Source organism: Homo sapiens, chromosome 13, assembly GCF_000001405.40.
Source record: "Homo sapiens chromosome 13, GRCh38.p14 Primary Assembly".
Lineage (NCBI taxonomy): Eukaryota > Metazoa > Chordata > Mammalia > Primates > Hominidae > Homo > Homo sapiens.
In genome coordinates, this window is record NC_000013.11 from 20011754 (window position 1) to 20032617 (window position 20864).

Sequence of the window (20864 nt, forward strand, 5' to 3'; positions counted from 1 at the left end):
TTTTTTTCTTTTTTGAGATGGAGTCTTGCTCTGTTGCTCAGGCTGGAGTGCGGTGGCACAGTCTCTGCTCATGCAACCTCCACCTCCCGCGTTCAAGCAATTATCCTGCCTCAGCCTCCCGAGTAGCTGGGATTACAGGCGCACACCACCATGCCCAGCTATTTTTTTGTATTTTTAGTAGAGACGGGGTTTCACCTTGATGGCCAAGCTGGTTTCAAACTCCTGATGTCAAGTGAGCCACCTGCCTCGACCTCCCAAAGTGCTAGGATTACAGGCGTGAGCCACAGCGCCTGGGCTAATACTTGTATTTTTAGTAGAGATGGGGTTCCACCATGTTGGCCAGGCTGGTCTCGAACTCCTGACCTTCAGTGATCCTCCTGCCTTGGCCTCCCAAAGTGTGAAATTACAGGCGTGAGCCTCCGCCCCTGGTCTTTTTTTTTTGAGATGGGTCTCGGTCTGTAGCCCAGGCTGGAGTGCGGTAGTGCGATCTCAGCTCACTGCAGCCTCCGCCTCCTGGGTCCAAGCGATTCTTCTGCGTCAGCCTCCCAAGTAGCTAGGACTATAGGCATAGGCCACCATGTCCCACTAATTTTTGTATTTTTTTTTAGTAGAGTTGGGGTTTCACCAGGTTGGCAAGGCTGACCTGAAACTCCTGACTTCAAGTGATCTGTCCTTCTCAGCCTCTCAAAGTGCTGGGATTACAGGTGTGAGCCACCACGCCCAGCTGGAAGTCTTAAATTTTGATTTACCCATTGTTTTCTTTTGGTCGTGCTTTCGGTGTCATTTAAGAATCTGTTGCCAAATGCCAGGTCATGGTTTTCCTCTACAGTTTCCTCTAAGAGTTGTATGAGTTTAGCTCTTAATTAGGTATTTGATCCATTTTAATTTACTTTTTGTTTATTATGTGAGGCAGGGGTCCAACTTCATTGTTTTGTACTGGAATTCCAGTTTTCCCACCACCACCACCTGTTGATGAAGGGATTATTCTTTCTCTGTGGAATGGACTTATCACACTTGTCAAATATTAATTGGCCAGAGATCATTTCTATGTTCCACTGATCTACATGTGTGATCTTATGTATGTGCTGCACTATTTTGATTACTGTATCTTTGTAGTAAGTTTTGAAATCAGGAAATGTGAGTTCTCCAACTTTGTTTTTTGTCAAGATTGTTTGAATATTCTGGACCCATTCTAATTTTATATGAATTTGAAGATTGGCTTTTCTATTTCTGCAGAAGAGTTTGTTGGAATTTTTATATAAATTGCATTGAATCTGTAGATTGCTTTGGGTAGTATTGACATCTTAGCAATAGTAAGTTATTCTGTCTGTGAAAATGGCATTTATTTATGAAGACATACCATTTATTTATGTCTTTAATTTCTTTCAGCAGTCTTTTGTGGTTTTTAGTGTACAAGTCTTCACCTCCTTTGCTGCATTTATTCCTGTTTATTCTTTTAATGCTATTTCTAGTGGATTTGCTTTATTAATTTCCTTTTCAGATTGTACATTACTAGTATATAGAAACATCTGATTTTTGTACATTGATCATGTACTGTGCAAGTTTACTGAATGTTAGCTCTACTAGCTTTATGAGTTTCTTGGTATTTTTCTCTTTATGAGTTTCATGTCATCTGTGAATAGAGATAGTTCTACTTTTTTCCAATTCGGATGCATTTTATTTCTTAACTAATGGTTGTGGCTATAATTTTCAATACTGTGTCAAATAGATGTGGTGAAAGTGGGCGTCCTTGTTGCTGATCTTAGAGGAAAATAATTTTTTTACCATTGAGTCTGATGTTAGAATGGGTTGTTCATATGCATGGCTTTTAGTATGTTGAAGTAGTTTCTTTGTATTACTTTTTTTATTCAGTTTTTTTAATCATAAAAAGGTGTTGAATTTTTCAAATGCTTTTTCTACATCCTTTGAGATGATCATGTGGTCTTTATCTTTGCTCTTATTTATGTGGTACGTTACATGGATTGATTTCTTTATGTTGAACCACACTTTTATTGGGATAAATCCCTACTTGATTATGGTGTATAATCCTTTTAATATATTGAATTCAGTTTAGTAGTACTTTGTTGAGGATCTTTGCATCTATATTCTTGTGGGATACTGGTCTCTGATTTTCTTTCTTTTGATGTCTTTATCTGTCTTTCAAATGAGGGTAATGCTGGCCTTATAGAATGGGGTGGGTGAGACATCTTGTATCTTCTGATTTTTGGAAGCGTGGGAATTGGTGTTAATTCTTTAAATGTTTGGTAGAATTTACCTGTGAAGTCATCTGATCTTGGCCTTCTCTTTTTTGGGACTTTTTGTTTGTTTGTTTGTTTGTGAGACAGAGTCTCACTGTGTCACCCAGGCTGGAGTGCAGTGGCGTGATCTTGGCTCACTGCAACCCCCGCCTCCCGGGTTCAAGCAATTCTCCTGCCTCAGCTTCCTGAGTAGCTGGGACTACAGGCGCCTGCCACCACGCCCAGCTAATTTTTGAATTTTTAGTAGAGATGGGGTTTCACCATGTTGGCCAGAATGGTCTCGATCTCCAGACCTCATGATCCACCCGCCTCAGCCTCCCAAAATGTTGGGATTATAGGCATGATCCACTGCACCCGGCCAGGACATTTTTGATGACTGAGTCTATTGTTACAGGTCTGTTCACGTTTTCTATGTCTTCTTGTGTCAGTTTTGGTGGTTTGTGTGTTTTTAGGAATTTGTGCATTTCATCTAGGCTGTGTAATTAGTTAATGTACTATTGTTCATAGCATTTTCTTGTACTACTTTTTACTTCAGGAATGCTGGTAGTAATGTCTCCTATATTTTATTCTTTGTGTCTATTCTCTTGGTATTTTAAAATGACCAACTTTTGGGTTTGTTTCTCTCACTTTTTCTGTTCTGTTTTATTTTTCCTGCTCTAATCTTTATTATTTCCTTTCTTCTGCTGGCTTTGGGTTTAGTGATCTCGTCTTTTTCCTCAAGGTGGTGAGAAGTTAGGTTATTTACTTTAGGTTTTTTTTTTTTTTTTTTTTGGGGACAAAGTCTCACTCTATTGCCCAGGCTGGAACGCAGTGGCATGATCTTAGCTCACTGCACCCTCACCTCCCAGGTTCAAGCGATTATCCTGCATCCGCCTCCTGAGTAGCCGGGATTACAGGCATGTGCCACCACACCTGGCTAATTTTTGTATTTTTAGTAGAGATGGGGTTTCACCGTGTTAGACTGGTCTTGAACTCCTGACCTCAGGTGATCTGCTCGCCTCAGCCTTCCAAAGTGCTGGGATTATAGGTGTGAGCCACCGTGCCTGGACTTACTTTCTTTCTTTTTAACATAAGCATTTAAAATTTTAAATAAATTTTTCTCTGATTAGTATTTAAGTTGCATCTCATAACTTTTGGTATTCTTTTAGTTTTGTTTTCACTCATCTCTAAGTATTTAAAAATTTCCTGTGATTTCTTCTTTGAGCCATGTTTAAGAGTGTGTAGTTTAATATCCCCATATTTGTGAATTTTCTAAGTGTTCCTTCTATTACTGATTTCTAGTTCTATTCCATTGCTCATTGGAAAGATACTCTGTGTGATTTCAGTCTTCAAAAATTTATTGAGACTTTTTTGTGGCCTAACATAGTTCATTCTGGAAATTGCTCCATGTGCATTTGAGAAGAATGTTTATTCTACTGTTGTTGGCAAGAATACTCAATATATGTTTGTTATTAATAACTCTAGTTTATATTGTTGTTCAAGATTTGTCTTTACTTAGTTGAAATTCTGTCTAGATGGTTTGTCCACTATTGTAAATGGTGTATTGATGTCTCCAGCTATTATTGTACAATTATCTGCTTCTACCTCAGTTATTGTCTATTTCTCCTTTTACGTCTGTTAATTTATTTAAGTGTATTTTGGGGGTTTTGATACTTGGTATGTATATGTTTATATTTGTTATATCTTCTTGGTAAGTAGACCCTTTGTTCAGTATGTATTTTTCTGTCTCTTGTGTCAGTTTTTCACATATAGGCTCTTTTTGCCTTATATTAATATGGCAACCCCAACTCTCTTAGTTACTGTTTATTTGTGTGGAGTATCTTTTTCCATCCTTTTACTTTTGACCTGTTTGTATCTTTGGATAAATAAATCCTTCCTTATCAGTAATTACATTAAATGTACATGGATCAAATTATCCGATCAAAAAGCAGAAATTGACAGAATAGGAAAAAAATGATGCCTTTTGATTGGATAATTTGATCCATGTACATTTAACATAATTACCAATAAGGAAGGATTTATTTCTGCCATTTTTCTATTTTTTTTCGGTATATTCTATACCTTTTTTTTGGTATCTCATTTCCTGCATTATGGCTTTTATGTTTAGTTGATTGTAGTGCACTGTTTTGATTTCCTTCTCATTGTCTTTGTATTGTTTTTAAATATATTATTTGTGGTTACTGTGGGGGAGGCTTTACATATAACATCCTATAATTCAATCTAATGTGAATTTATAACAAGTTAATCAGCTTTTAAAAATGCTGCTCCTATATATCTGTTCCCTCTTTTTGTTATAGATTACATTTTTAAGCATTGTATTCCCAGTAATATAGATTTACAATTTTGTGTGCATATTTGTCTTTAAAATCATGTAGGAAATAAAAAGTGGATTTATAAAGCAAAAATACAATTATACTTGTTTTGTATTCTCCCATATATTTACTAAAGATTGGGTCAAGTGTATTCCTTCCATTTCAATAAAAAGCTTTGACTCCTTTTAGCATTTGTTTTGTAGGGTAGATTTAGTGGCAACAAACTCCCTCCACCTTTTATCTGTGTGTCTTTATTTTTCCTTCAGTTTTGGATGATAGTTTTGCTGGACATAGTATTCTTGTTTGAAAGCTTTTTTTTCTCTATTATTTTAAATGTTATTCCACTGCCTTTTGGCCTCCATGGTTGTTTCTTTTGTGAAATTGATGGTTAATCTTATTGAGAATTTCTTGTGCTGAACCATTTCTGTTTTGCTTCTTTCCGTATTTTCTTTGTCTTTTAACGGTTTGATTATAAAGTGTCTTATTGTGTGTCTCTGAGTTTATCCTACATGTAATTTGTTGTGTTTATTAGATTTGTAGATTTGTGTCTGTTATCAAATATGGCAAGTTTTTAGCCATTAATTTTTCAGATAATCTTTTGCCCCTTTCTCTTCTTCTGAAACTCTCAGAAAGTTCATGTTGGTCTATTTGATCTTATTCCATGGGCCCCTTAGGCTTTTGCTTACTTTACTTCATTCTTTCCTTTACTGCTCCTCAGGTTCTGTTACATCAGTCTTGGCCTCTTTACTGCAAATTGTTGGTAAAAGCTCTGACTTTCTGCTGGGTCAGACCACCTCAGTTAGGGTAGAGGTGGTTAAGGTGTCTAATTACCACCCAGTGGGGTGGAAGTTCAAGTTTCCTACTTGGCCTTCTCTGACTTTACCATGGCTAGGGTGCTGGGGTGAGGCATCACATTGTAGCCCGGCCAGGGTGGAAGTCTAGGCTAATTGGCCTTTTCTTGTGTGAATGGGATTAGGGTCTGTGGAGTAGAGGAGCTGTTGTCTTACTGTTTCTCTAGGCTGCTATTTCAACTGTATTTCACCTACAGGTGTGTCATTTCTCTTGCCAGATTCAAGATTTTTTTCTTTGTCTTTGGTTTTCAGAAATTTGAATTTGGTGTATCTTGGTGTTTCTTTGGGTTTTATCCTTCCTAGTGTTTGCTAACCTTCTATCTGTAGATTTATGTCTTTTGCCAAATTTGAGACATTTCAAACAGTAGTGTTTTTGGAGGACTTTTCTAACTCTGTCCTCTTTTTCCTTTCCTTTTGGGACTCCAGTGACATGAATGTTACTTTTTTTTTTTTGTTACAAGCCTACAGATCCCTAAGGCTCTGTTTTACTTTTCCCCCCACCCAGTCTGTTTTTCGGGTTGGGTACTTTTTATTATTCTGTCTTCCAGTTCACTGATTCTTTCCATTTTATTCTTCTGTATATCTTCTATTTCTTTTCTAGAAGTTTCTGTGTTTTCATTTGTTTTTTAAGTGCATGTGTATTGGTTATTGGAGCACTTTTATGATGACTGCTTTAAAATCTTTGTCAGGTATTTCCAATATCTCTGTAATTTTGGTGTTGGCATCTGTTGATTGTCCTTTTCTATTTAAATTCTAGTTTTCCTGGTGTTTGGCATGATAAATGATTTTTTTATTTGAAACTTGAACATTTTGAGTACTATGGTATTGCCAAGTGGAGTTAAAAGGTCGGCCTCTCTACTTGGCCTCTCTACATCTGTGAGGGAGAAGCAGCTTCTTGTTATTGCTGAGTGGATATGGGAGTTCTGGCTCCTTTCTGGACATTAGCTGATACCACCCTGACTAGAGGAGTAGGAGTTCCTTATACTGTTCCCCACATAATCTCTACTGACACCAAATGATTCTTCTTCAGTGGATAGAGAAAATGTTCTTAGTACTATTATTACATAAATAAAAATTATTTAAAATAGTGTTTCTTTTATTCTTTAAAATTACTTGCATGTTTTGTAATTACATACTATATGTTCATAATTCATTAGTTAAATAAATAGGTGGGAGTCCATGCCTTACTATTTTACTGATAAAGAGACCCAATTGGATGTGTTTGGAGACAACTACATGAGATGCTATAGTGAATGTCTTCTTTCTCTGCAACCTGGGAGCTAAAATTGTATCATAATCCTTCCTTACTTTCCTCTCACCCCCTTTGTCCTTTGTCTGTTATATTTAACTTAGCTGCCTTTTGTTGTTTATCTGTGCTCTCATTGCTCACTTAGTTTCTGAAGTGTATTGATACACTTAGTTAATAATCTAGATCCTGGCAGTGGAGACTGTATAATGCTTGTCCTGTGCCTTTCAGTAGTTTTCCTTTTCTAGCATAGTATTTTGACTTTCATGGAAAGCAGGAAGCATATCTTTTAAAACTTTTGTGCAAGGAGTAAGGATATGTATTCGTATTATATGCTGGAAACTGTCATATGTGCTTTCAAAAGAATTTCTCAAACATGCCAGACACGGTGGCTCACGACTGTAATCGCAGCACTTTGGGAGGCCCAGGTGGGCCGATCACTTGAGGTCAGGAGTTGGAGACCAGCCTGGCCAACATGGTGAAACCCTGTCTCTACTAAAAATACAAAAACTAGCCAGGCGTAGTGGCAGGCGCCTGTAATCCCAGCTACTCAGGAGGTTGAGGTGGGAGAATCGCTTGAACCCAGGAGGTGGAGGTTGCAGTGAGCCAAAATCATGCCACTGCAATTCAGCGTGGGTGACAAAGCAAAAACTCCATCTCAAAAAAAAAAAAACAACAACAACAACAAAAAAAAACAATTTCTCAATCCATTTTGCATATGGTGGAAATTGTAGCTGTATAATCTCCAAATGACTTAATTTAGAAAGCTTCGAGTTTCATTATAAGTGTTAACAGTTTTTAAAGAGATCTTAGAACACTCCAAATTAGAAGTGATTTTACTCAGAAATTAGAGGTGAGTCAGATCTAAGTATCTATCTTTAATTCCTTAGCCCATTATTACTGTTTTATCATCATACCATTTTTTCTAAGATAAAATTATTTGATAATTCTTTAAGTTGGGCAACAGTAGTGGGGACAGGACAGGCAGACATTTTTAAAAGTTGGAATGAGTTTGTAAGTCACAAAATATAATTGAGAAGCAACTTTTACATAATGCTTATTTACCTTTCAATGTAGCAGCTATTCTTTATGTGTGTTTATAAAGTCTTTTAAAATCTTTTTTTAGGTAGGTAGCCATCCAAGCTTCCTGAAGGAGGTTCGAGATCACATGCAGGACTCTTTCTTAATGCAGCCTGAGGTAAGCAGGAATGTAAATGGAGTTCAAGGCCTTAACATTTTTGAGCACTGCTACTACTGTCATTAATATGTATCTGAAAAATCTTGTCCAATTTGAAATATATTAAAATTTCCAAACTTAAATTGTATCAAATGATGAATGTTTTATCTCTGAGACATAGATTTCTAATTTCACTAATTTTACATGTATTTTCTTGTGATATGCTCATTTGTCTTTAGTTATTTATGTTCTTAGGAAATTATTTTCAGATTTTTTTAGTGCACAATACCTTGTACACAGTAGGCATTTAATAAAGGGATATAAAAATCCTCTCTTTTGTGCCTACCTGAAAAGTTAAAAAAAAAACCCTTTCTTTCAAAAAAATTTCTAAGTCTGTGTTCCTGTTAATCCAGATAAATGAATTAGTAATGAGTAATAAGTGTTTAAAATTAGGAAGACTTTTAACTGTAGTACAGTTATCAAGATAATGAAATTTACATCAGTAAACTATTATTGTCAGGTTAGTCAATAGAGCGTATTCAAATTTTGTCTGTTAATGTCCCTTACAGCAAATGAAAAACAATTATTTCTTGTCTAGAATCCAGTACAGGATCATAGGCTATTATTATTCCTCTTCTTTTTTTTTTTTTTTTTGAGACAGAGTTTCGCTCTTGTTGCCCAGGCTGGAGTGCAACGGCACCATCTCGGCTCACCGCAACCTCCGCCCCCTGGGTTCAAGCGATTCTCCTGCCTCAGCCTCCCAAGTAGCTGGGATTACAGTCATGCACCACCACACCCGGCTAATTTTGTATTTTTTTAGTAGAGATAGGGTTTCTCCATGTCGGTCAGGCTCCTGACCTCAGGTGATCCACCTGCCTCGGCCTCCCAAGTGTTGGCGTTACAGGCGTGAGCCACCGCGCCCGGCCCATTATTTCTTTAAATATAGTTTTTAGGCCTTTTCCCAACTCTCTTCTTCTGAGACCCCAATTCCAGATAATTCCTGCCACTTTCCCACAGTCACTGAGGCTTGTTTTTTGTTTTTTGTTTTTTGGTATTGTTTTGTATTGTTTTTGTACTGTTTTGTATTTATTTTGCATTGTGGTTTGTATTTGTATTGTTTTTCCCTAGTCTTTTTTTCCTTCTGTACTCCATTTTGGAAAGTTTCTATTGCTGTATCTTTAAGTTTGCTGATCTTTTAAAATCACCTGTGAATACCATGCAGCATATTTTTTCAGATGTTATGTTTTTCGTCTCTAAAAGTTCCATTTGTCTCTTTTGTATCTTCTATTTCCTGCCTAATTATGTTCATGTTTTCCTCTACTAATATTTTAATATATTAGCATATTTATAATAGTTCTTTTAACATCTTTGCCTACTGTTTACTTTTTTTTTTTTTGAGATGGAGCCTTGCTCTGTCACCCAGGCTGGAGTGCAGTGGCGTGATCTCTGCTCACTGCAAGCTCTGCCTTCCAGGTTAACGCCATTCTCCTGCCTCAGCCTCCCTAGTAGCTGGGACTGCAGGTGCCCGCCACCATGCCCGGCTAATTTTTTGTATTTTTAGTAGAGGCGGGGTTTCACCGTGTTAGCCAGGATGGTCTCGATCTCCTGACCTCATGATCCGCCTGCCTCGGCCTCCCAAAGTGCTGGAATTACAGGCGTGAGCCACTGCGCCCGGCCTTACTGTTTTCATATCTGCCATTTCTAGATCTGTTTCTATAGTTTGATTTTCTTTTTTTTTCTTCTTCTGGGTAATGAGTCATGTTTTCCTGCTTTTTTTTTTTTTTTTGACAAAATGCCTGTCATTTTTAAGTTTGATTCAGAATATTGTGAATTTCACATTATTGGTTGCTGGATTTTGTTGTATTATTTTAAATGTTTTGTTGGACTTTGTTCTGGCATCCTGTCAAATTAACCTCGAATTATTTGGATCCTTTTGAGGCTTGCTTTTAAGTTTTTGAAAAGACTTTGGTAGAGCAAACTTTAGCCTGGGGCTATTTATTCATACTACCGCGGTGATACCTGGAGAGATCTGAATCATCCCCCGTATTACAAGGTCATCCTACTCTTGAACAGGTAGCAATACAGAGTACTCCTGGCCATGTGTGTTCTTTGGGAATTGTTAGCCTAATGCTTTCTTGTGGTTCTGGGGTTCTTTCTCTGGCCACAGGTGCTTTCTTCTCATGAATGCACAGATCAGTTTTCAGCCAAAATATGTCTGTAGATGTAGTTTTAAGATCACAGATCAGTTTTCAGCCAAAATACGTCGGTAGATGTATTTTTAAGATCAGAGCTTTTTTGTGCAGCTCCATCATCATCAGTACTCTGTTTCCCAAATTCTAGCTGCCTTGAAAGACTTGTGTTTCCTCAACTCAGTGAAACTAGTAAGTAGGCTCTGTTAACCTCCCCTTCCCCCAGCTACTTCTAGGCCTCAAGCTTTGGCAGCCACAGGACTCACTTGATTTGTTTCCCTTTTGTTAGGTATACAGTTCTGTGCTACCTTGTGTGTAGAGTTTGAAAACCATTGTTTTTTTGTGTGTGTGTCTAATTTTCTAGTTGTTAAAGGTGGGTGGGAGGTTTAAATCTAATTTCTGTTAGTTGGGAGTGGAAGTTACCTCTGCTTTAATCTAAATAGTTCCCTAGTTTTTGTTTGTCTTTTATGACTTGACATTTTGAATACCACTTTGGAGAGCATCCCTCAATTCGTGTTTGTTTGATAGTTCCTCAAGATTAGATTGAGGTAATGCATTTTTGGCATGAATACCTCATAAGCGGTGTTGTGTCCCTCTTCGTGCACATCAGGAAGCACATGATGTCTATGTTTTCCATTATTGTGTGTTAACTTGTTTAAGGGGATGTCTGTCAGGTTTCTCCAGGGTAAAGTTGCTATTTTTCCCTCTGTATCTGTTTAAGTTAAGCAAACTTTTCACCCACTATTTTTAGCATCTGTTGTCAATTAGAAAAAAATCCTTAAATTACAAAGTTAGAATAAGTCTGCTAAAAGAAAAATTGTAAATTAAACAGTAATAGAGAAAAGTAAAACATGATGGTATATACATTTTTAAACCGTTTTTTCTCTGCACAGACAAATCTTGCAATATGAAGAGATGATTTCCAGGTTTTATTGAATAAATGAATTGTAATTTTTACTTGAAATTATCTTATTTAGTATAATAAATATTACAATATTATGTCATTGTTTGAGTTTTATTGCCACTTCTTCTAATCAAGGTTCTTCACTATTTCAGTGCTTTGGATTCCTTTGGTAATAAGGACAGATTCATTCTCAGAATGTTATTAAATGCATAAAATACCTATGATTACAAAGACAACCAATTATATCAAAATACAGTTACCAAAATATTTTTTAAATTTTTGAAATGTGCTGCTTTATTTTAATGTATTTAGGAATAAAATCCAGTGGTTAATAACTATAATTTTGAAGTAAAGTTGAATGTAATTGATATATTAAGGGATACTAAGAATGATATAAAAATTGGGAATTTTTATTTTTGACAGTCATAGGCCCTATTAAACTAATGAAGTAAGTTTGTTGCCTCCAATCAGAGTGAAAGAGAATGTTAAATTTCAGTTAGAGGTTAGTAAATATAAAGGTAATTTCTTTACTGTGCGATGTCACAGACTAAAGTTTATATTGTATTTGAATGTGGCTAGGAAAGTAGATAATATGCAGCCTATATCTTGGGGCGCCATTTCCTAAATTAGATTTGCAGCAGCAGGTACATCAAGCCATTCTTTCTTGATTACCTTCCCATGTGGTCTACTTGATTGGTCCAAATGTACCAAATGAAATATACTTCCTATATGTAGAAGGAAAATTTGGGAGAAGTTGTAAAATCGTGACAGTTTTGACATTCACGTGAAATTGGTTAAAATTAAAATATAAGGTACATCTTTTAAATGAGTAGACTGAAAATGAGCCAGTTTGTCATAAACTTACCCATCATATCTACGTTTTACCTTATCCATATCTTGTTTCACTTGGTTCTATCTCATTCTTTTTCACTGAAATTATACGTAGGCTTATTTTTCCCCATGCCCAAAAAGGGAATATTTTAATTCTGAATTTATTCCACAAAACTTTACATCACTAAATGTGTGTTTATAGGACGCATATAAATTTGTATGAAATTTAAATATGATTATTTTGATTGCTTACATATAAAGCTGAGTAAACATGGCATAAAATTATATTTCCCTTTTGGCTAATGTTCTTTCATTAATTGGTTCTTTGAGGCAGCGGTAGCTGTGCAAGTGGCAGTATTGAAATATTCTCAGTGATTCTGTCATTCTGATAGTACTTTCTCATTTTCTTTTTCTTCTTCTTTTTTTTTTTTTGGAGGCAGTCTCACTCTGTTGCCCAGGCTGGAGTGTAGTGGCACGATCTTGGTTCACTGCAGCCTCTGCCTCCCAGGTTCAAGTGATTCTTGTGCCTCAGCCTCTTGAATAGCTGGGACTACAGGCATGCACCACCACGCCTGGCTAACTTTTGTATTTTTAGTAGAGACGGGGTTTTGCCATGTTGGCCAGGCTGGTCTCGAACTCCCAACCTCATGATCTGCCCACCTCAGCCTCCCAAAGTGCTGGGATTACAGGTGTGAGCCACTGCACCCGGCCTTCATTCTCTTTAGATAAAATTATTTGTCTGTATGAAACAGTTGCCTAACTCCATGTTTACTTGATGTCTTAAAACTGTTACTAATTATTTAATCATTCTGCCAATAAAATCAGCGTTGGGATCACAAATCCAAGGAATAGACTCACTCGGTCAGTTTGAAGAATGTTTCAAATAGAAATCAAATCCATGATTTGATTAGATGGTGGAACTTAATTTATATGAGTAAAAGAATTCTTTGTAGGTGCTGATACATGGAGGCCTTCTACAGACACCTAGTGGGAGCTGATTTTTCTGTCTTGCAAACTTGCAACATAGTGGCAGTTGTCCCGAATATTTTATAGCATTACTAATTTGTACTGTAGTTTCAAGTTTTAAACATTTTATATTCTGTTTCATTGATTTGCTTTGTTTTTGTCCCTTTTCCAGTATAGAAATTTAAGTCATCAAATAGACCTCAGGAAACAAACAAAAAAAAAAGCAGAGCATTCTCTTCTATTATATTTACACATCATAGTGAGATATAGTATGTTTGCAGCCATTTTTATTTTTTCCTTGTCACCATTCTTTTGCAGTTGACAAATATTTTTGAAGGAGGACCTATCATTAAAGAATGAGTTCATTTCCACTTTGAAAAGCAAAGTTGAGGGCTTCCTTTAGTTGATATTTCAGTAAATGAGGAAGTAGGCAGCGTAAGTGGTTTTAATAAGATGATAATGAACATGCATTCCTGGCACATAAACAGCTATGTTTTCTTATACTTTTTCTATTCGTTTCAAGCTGAAAGACCTTTTTCTTGATGTTGATTGTATTTTTTTATTTTTACCTTCCATTTATTACCTTCATTTTCTGAAACCCTGTGGTATTTGTGACATTTTTCCATGCAGTGTATTCATTTCAGTTGTTATTTTTGGCCTGATTGTTATCTATAACACCTATTATTTATGCTATCCATGGAACATTTCGAAGCCTTCTTATATTTTCATATTGTATAGATGCTCGTGGGTATGAAGACGGATTTAATTGCAACATGAGGTGGAAAATGGATACAATTATTTTGCAACGTGATTTGTGATATTTGATTTAACTTGACTATGACAGAGTTCTGCAACCACTCAGAGGATCAAAACAACTTGCACTTGAAGGCTAGCCTTTCGTTTTTATTTCTACCTTTTTTTTCTTTTTGTGGAAGATGGGGTCTTGCTGTGTTGCCCAGGCTGTTCTTGAACTCCTGGGCTCAAGCAGTTCTCTACAAAAAAAATACACCCCCACCAAAAAAAATAGCCAGGCAATTGCTTGAACCCAGGCTGGTCTCAAACTCCTGGGCTCAAGCATTCCACCTCCCTAGGCTTCCCGGTGTGCTGGGTTTACAGGTGTGAGCCACACCCTGCCCTCATATTCTTTATCTCCTTTTGTTGTTGTTGTTGTTGTTGGCACATATAGTCATTCATTGCTTAATGACAAGAATACGTTCTGAAAAATGCATCGTTAGACAAGTTTGTTTTGTGAACATCACAGAGTGTACTCAAACAAACCTAAATGGTATAGCTTATTGCTGCTAGGCTATAAGCCTGTACAGCATGTTACTGTAATGAATACTGCAGGCAGTTGTAACACAATGGTAAGTATTTGTGTATCTACATATATCTAAACATAGAAAAGGTACAGTAGAAATATGGCATTACAATCACTGAGTGAAACATCGTTATTTGGCACATTACTGTATTCACTTTTGGCAGGAGGATTAACTTTATTATTATCTATTGATGAATTATTTACTTCATTTTATAGCCAGAAGTCATTTTGAATGTGGTTTAAATTTTTTTAATTCAAAAAAATTTTTTTATTTTATTGTGGTTTAATGAGATTTCAAATGTAGTAGATAGGTGATAAATCATTTTTAAGAGAAGTTCCAAGAGTGCTTGGAACAATAGCAGCTCAGTGGGAAAAGGATTTAAAATCTTCAAATTCATTCTTCACCATACTTTTTATTATTAAGGCTTATATTTCATAGCTCCATTTAATTGATTTTGTCAAATGACAAAGAAGTATGTCCTCATTATAAACAAAAAGCACTGTGCCTTTCCTAAATTTTTCAGGTTTTACTTAACTCTATGTAGGGATTCTGTTAAACTAAATATAATAGAGAGAAAAACATTCTGTTTTTGAAGGCGACTTAGCTGATGATCATTGCTTTGTTTGGACCTTAGCAGTTGTTGCATAGTTAATAGTTTGTATGTAGATGAAGACTCATGACTCTAAACCTGTTTAGAGATTAACAGGATTGTTTTGCAGAGGCAAAAAGTGTAATGAAAAATTGGTAATTCTTTTCTAGTTAAGTTGTAGTCTTAAAAATTATCTTTTTATGTTTCAAATTTTAGAAATATGGAAAACTGACAACTTGTACTGGTTGCCGAACACAGTGCAGGTTTTTTGATATGACTCAGTGTATAGGTCCTAATGGATATATGGAGCCATATTGTTCAACTGCTTGTATGAACAGTCACAAGACAAAATATGCAAAATCACAAAGTAAGTTTCACATATTTGGACAGTTAAAAAAACTTTACAACGTAATTAATTTTTGCATAAATACTCATTTGATGTTTTTATGCTTGTTTTTAACAGCTTTTTATTTTATATTAATCTTTTTGAAAACTGTTCTAATTATTTTGATTATTCTGTACTACTTTTTTAGTTCTCTTCATGTCTATGTTCTTAACTAAAATTGTTACTCCATCTAAAAAATTACCCAAAACTGAGTTTTTTCTCTATATCTATGTATGTTTTAGTGGCATAATATCAGAGTCCGTTATGACAATATTTTAAAAGTGCACATAATCTTCAGTATTGAAGGTGCAAATAATAATAGTTTATTTTTTAACAGAAACTTCTATGATCTCAGTAGTTAAGATAAAAAAACTTTTTTATTACTTTATAAACAAATCAGATATGTACCTTTTCTTTCCTAGGTTTGGGAATTATTTGCCATTTTTGTAAGCGAAACTCTTTACCTCAATACCAAGCCACAATGCCTGATGGAAAACTGTACAACTTTTGCAATTCCAGTTGTGTGGCTAAATTTCAGGTTTGTCGTTTATTTTGCATAACCCATGCCCCCAATAAAATACACATAGAAAATAATCAGTGTAATATAATATGCTTTATTTTATCTTAATTTTTACGTAGCTTGTTGAGGGTCAAATTGGAAGGTGGATATCCTAGTCACAGAATATGTGGCTGTACCAGTTTTCTATTTTAGCCTGGATAGTCTAATTGAGATTATAATTATTACTCTGATACAGATTTTGAAGGAAAAGAAATTTTAATATAGTTCAGTGCTGATGTGTAGTTTTTTCTTATTAGATAGTTTGAATAAAATGTGAACCGTAAGGGGAACTGTTATGTGACAAACGGATAGAGGACCTAGATGTATTTAGCCTAGAAGTGATAAGAATACTTGCTTTCTTCATATGTTAGAAATGGACCATGTAAAGAGGGAATTAGATTTTTTACACTAGGCCTTAATTTAATACAAGATCAGTTTAGGGAGACATTTTTCATTTTGGTAAATGTAAAGAAAGACTTGCTAACATAGTTTTTCAAATTTGGAGTATGGATAGTCTCAGAAGATAGATTCTTGGAAGCGTTCAAACTTAACCTGGTTGACCACTAGGAAGGAATAGTTTAGAGGGAATTCAAGCATTAGTTAGGTGATACGATTAGGTTTACCTGTTGTGTGTGAAAATTTCAGGGTATTACCCAAAGGTTCAAACCCGTGCATAAAGCCATGCTTCATGAGTTAATTCATCCAACAATTCTGCTTTATTCCAGGTACTGTGCTCTATGTTAATTTATTTAAACTGCAAATATAGTTTCTTAAGTATAATAGTTACTATATCACTTATTAGTATTTAAATTGAGGTGTTTTTGAATTCAAATGAATGTCAGTTTTTGTTAATAGTAATATTCTCACTGAGCTTAGGTGATAAACCACGTTTAAGACTTAACTTGTTATTTCAGAAGTTGGGATCATGGCCATTGATACATCCTTACAGTGGTAGATATTGCTTTTGCCTTGTTGGCTTTTCTTAAACTAGAAATTAAGGAATAATTATTAATTAGAAGAGAGGAAGACAGTGTCTATAGCATGCTACTTGTCAGATCTTGAACTTTGTTTTTTGATATTGTTGGATAAACTAAACTGATAATTGAAAATGTTGTAACTACCCTTTTCATTTAATTGAAACTTGTATCACCCATGATTTGATAAGATCCTCTGTATATGTACATTGTATATTTTAAGATATACAGTTACCCCTTGATATCCATGGGCAAGTGGTACCAGGACCTCCTGCAGATATAAAATTCCAGGATGCCCAAATCCCTTATATAATATGGCATAGTATTTGCATGTAACCTACAGTGCAAGTCTTCCTGTGTACTTTAAATCACATCTAGATTACCCTTAATATCTAATGCCATGTAAATGCTATGTAAAGAGTTGTTATACTGTATTGTTTAGGCAATAATGACAAGAAGAAAATGACTGTACATGTCCATACACATGCAATCATCTTTTTTTTTTTTTTTAATTTTTGATCCTCTGTTGGTTGAATCCATGGATATGTAGGACCGACTGTACTTAATTTAGGCTCTTACTTTGAGGAATACATCCAGATAGGCCTACAGGCAGCTTCATCTCTCTGCATATAAATAATACAAAATTGACAGAAAAGCAACATTTTTCCCTTTATCATAAAGCAAACCATATATTTTGAACTTTATATCTTCATTAGATATTTTCCTTTTAAAAGTAAGATAACAGGATAGTATTCCCACTTAGTCCATTCAGACTGCTATTACAGAATACCTTAGACTGGTAGCTTATAAATAGAAGTTTGTTTCTCATAGTCCGGAGGTTAGTAAGTCCAAGATAAGGCACTGGCAATTTGTTGTCCGTTGAAGGTCTATTCCTCATAGATGGTACCTTCTTGCTGTGTCCTCACATGGTGAAGGTAGCGAATGAGCTCCCTCAGGCTTCTGTTATGAGAGTACTGACTGATTAGATCACGAGGGTGGAGCTCTAATGGTCTGATCACCTTTTCAAAGCCCCTACCTCTTCTAATACTGTCACCTTGGGGTTTAGGATTTCAGCCTATGAATTTGTGGGGGAACACCAACATTCAGACTGTAGCATATTCCATTTGTTTTGAAAGACTAGTTAACTTTAATGGGGCTCAAATTTTTTGGAAACGCTAAGAGTAATGTTGGCTTTTATTTTTTAAATTTATTCATCTCATAGTCTTAAATCTGTATATTTTATTTTTCACAAACTTAGTGTTGTACAGTGTATGCAGAAGTTTTAAAAATGGTAGTTTTTTCTCCTTCCGCTGTACATTGAATGGCTAATTTTTATTAACCGTTTCATGCATTAAGATTATATGTAATATATGAGTAATATGGTTTAAAAAATGATAATTAAATACCAGTGTCCTCACCATTCAGATTAGGAATTAGAAAAAATCTGTCAGTGTCCATGTATGCTTATATTGTGTCTTATTCTGTAAATTTTTTTTTTTTTGGAGACAGAATCTCACTCTGTTGCCCAGGCTGGGGTGCAGTGGCATGATCTCGGCTCGCTGCAATCTCTGCCTCCTGGGTTCAAGTGATTCTGCCTCAGCTTCCCAAGTAGCTGGGATTACAGGCACCTGCCACCATGCCTAGCTAATTTTTGTATTTTTAGTAGAGACGGACTTTCGCCACATTGGCCAGGCTGGTCTCGAACTCCTGACTTCCAGCGATCCGCCTGCCTCTGCCTCCCAAAGTACTGGGATTACAGGTGTGAGCTATGACGTCCAGTCTGTAAATTGTTTTAACTTTAAAAAAAAAGGAATAGTAAAATTCCTCTTATGAATACCAGTGTGTAAATCTTTTTTCTCCTAACTTTGAAGAAGAAGTGATCAATTTTTAAATGTAACATAGGCCGATTTCTTTTCCTCTTTTTTTTTTTTTTTCCAGATGGAGTCTCGCTCTGTCACCCAGGCTAGAGTGCAGTGGTGTGATCTCGGCTCACTGCAACCTCCGCCTCCTGGGTTCAAGTGATTTCCCCTGCCTCAGCCTCCCAAGTAGCTGGGATTACAGGCGTGCGCCACCATGCTCAGCTAATTTTTTTTTTTTTTTTTTGAGACGGAGTCTCGCTCTGTCGCCCAGGCTGGAGTGCAGTGGCGTGATCTCGGCTCACTGCAAGCTCCACCTCCTGGGTTCACGCCATTCTCCTGCCTCAACCTCCTGAGTAGCTGGTACTACAGGCACCTGCCACCACCCCCAGCTAATTTTTTGTATTTTTAGTAGAGACGGGGTTTTACCGTGTTAGCCAGGATGGTCTCGATCTCCTGACTTCGTGATCCGCCCGCCTTGGCCTCCCAAAGTGCCGGGATTACAGGCATGAGCCACCACGCCTGGCCTAATTTTTGTAGTTTTAGTAGAGACGGGGTTTTGCCATGTTGACCAGGCTGGTCTCGAACTCCTGACCTTGGGTGATCTGCCCGCCTTGACCTCCCAAAGTGCTAGAATTACAGATGTGAGCCACTGCGCCTGGCCAACATAGGCCTATTTCACTGGTAGACTTGGAATGAAAATTATAGTAGGGATGCAGTGGCACAAAACATTAGTAAATTAGATATTTGATGATTATTGGAGATAGCAATAAGAACTAGGTTTTTGTTCTTTTTGTTTTTTTAAACTTCTGTTAGTTCAGAACGTGGGCAACTTAACCTCACTATTATTTGCTTACTGTTACTTCCTTACATTTTCTTAAGTGAACAGATGATGATTGAATGTATGATTTTTTCTTATTTTAGGTAAATAATAATTCTGTGGTTAAAAATTAAATTTAATTTCAATTTTATAAAACTAACATATACTATAATTTTTAAGGACAAAATTTGGAAATGAGTTTTATGTGCTGAAAAGATATCTAAGCAAGATGTATATTACTTTCTGGACATCGTAGATATATGACAGTAATCACAAATAGAAATTCAAACATACATGTCAGGCTTAGTATCTTTTGTTCTTTGTTTTAGGCTCTAAGTATGCAGTCATCTCCAAATGGCCAGTTTGTAGCGCCAAGTGATATTCAGTTGAAATGCAACTACTGCAAAAATTCCTTTTGTTCAAAACCAGAAATCCTGGAATGGGAGGCAAGTTGTATTTTGTAATGTGTGTTATCTAATGCTAAAAAGAAAGTCTAGTAAAATAAGTGTTGTATTTCCATCTGGAAACCTATTTCTTGGTAGATAAAAATATGCTTTTCAGATTTTTTTTTATGATTGGATTATTTATTCTCATGTGGGAGTGGAAAACCAACAAAGGATCTATGTCTTTTTAGGTCCAAGAAAAATTACTGAAGTCATATTCCTGATATATTGTATAAGTTCATAATAGTGTACAGAATGTCACTTTGTTTAGCTACGTACCTAGAGCAATTGTCTTTCCTTTTTTTGTCCCATGTTTCTCCCTGTCCTGTATTATCTGAGAACGATATTTTCTATCACTCAGTACCTGTACATATTAGAATGTATCAGTCATATACCACATTGTCATTTATAAAATGATACAATTCTGTAATTGTTTTTTTTTTTTTTTTTCTTTTTTTCTCAGAGTCTTGCTGTGTTGCCCAGGCTGGAGTGCAGTGGCACGATCTCGGCTCACTGCAATCTCTGTCTCCTCAGTTGAGGTGATTCTCCTGCCTCAGCGTCCCAAGTAGCTGGGAATACGGGTGGGCACCACCATGCCCAGCTAATTTTTGTATTTTTAGTAGAGACGGGGTTTCACCATGTTGGCCAGGCTGGTCTCGATCTCCAGACCTCAACTGATCCGCCCACCTCAGCCTCCCAAAGTGCTGGGATTACAGGCATGAGCCACCATGCCCGGCCATAATTGTGTTTTAATAAAACAATAGTGGCCTATGAATCCCACTACAAGTTTATTTTCTTTTCCCTTTTTTCATTAGTTTACTGATTTGCTTTGACATGTCTCCATTAGCAATAACGCTGATGATTGACTTTTATTTCATAAGGGGGCAGTAATAGATGGATACATGGCCAAGACTGCCCAGGCTGCCCATTGCTTTCTTGAGCAATGCTTGCCTTTGGCCATTGTTTCTTTTCACTGCTTTAGGGGTGGGGCAGGGTGGGAGGTAGTGCATGGAGTATATGATAAAATGGTATACAAGATTTAGAAGATGTAGTATTAACACTGTTCTTGAGCCAAAATTTATTAGGAGCTGTTGGTGAGTCATTCAGTAACTAAGTCTTAAGTGAAAGGTGGTACCCAGAACTGGATTACATGATTTTTTTTCTGTCTTTTTTTTTTTTTTTTTT

The 20864-nt window shown here is 36.2% G+C and overlaps 1 protein-coding gene across 38 annotated transcripts in view; it reads left to right on the forward strand.

Annotated features, from left to right (window-relative positions):
- The window catches only part of ZMYM2 (zinc finger MYM-type containing 2), a 225276-nt gene that overhangs the window by 147914 nt on the left and 56498 nt on the right, over positions 1–20864 (forward strand). For 35 of the 38 annotated variants that reach the window (NR_148365.2, XM_047430584.1, XM_047430585.1 and 32 more), the window contains 4 exons: positions 7794–7865; positions 14859–15009; positions 15450–15565; positions 19566–19682. Coding sequence is in view for 37 of the 38 variants with exons in the window: in XM_047430584.1 (XP_047286540.1) it covers positions 7794–7865; positions 14859–15009; positions 15450–15565; positions 19566–19682 (456 nt within the window). In the remaining variant the exon portion in view is untranslated. Of the gene's footprint in view, positions 1–7793; positions 7866–10926; positions 13623–14858; positions 15010–15449; positions 15566–19565; positions 19683–20864 lie in introns of those variants that run through there. The other 3 variants (XM_047430602.1, XM_047430603.1, XM_011535223.3) reach the window with 2 other exon arrangements.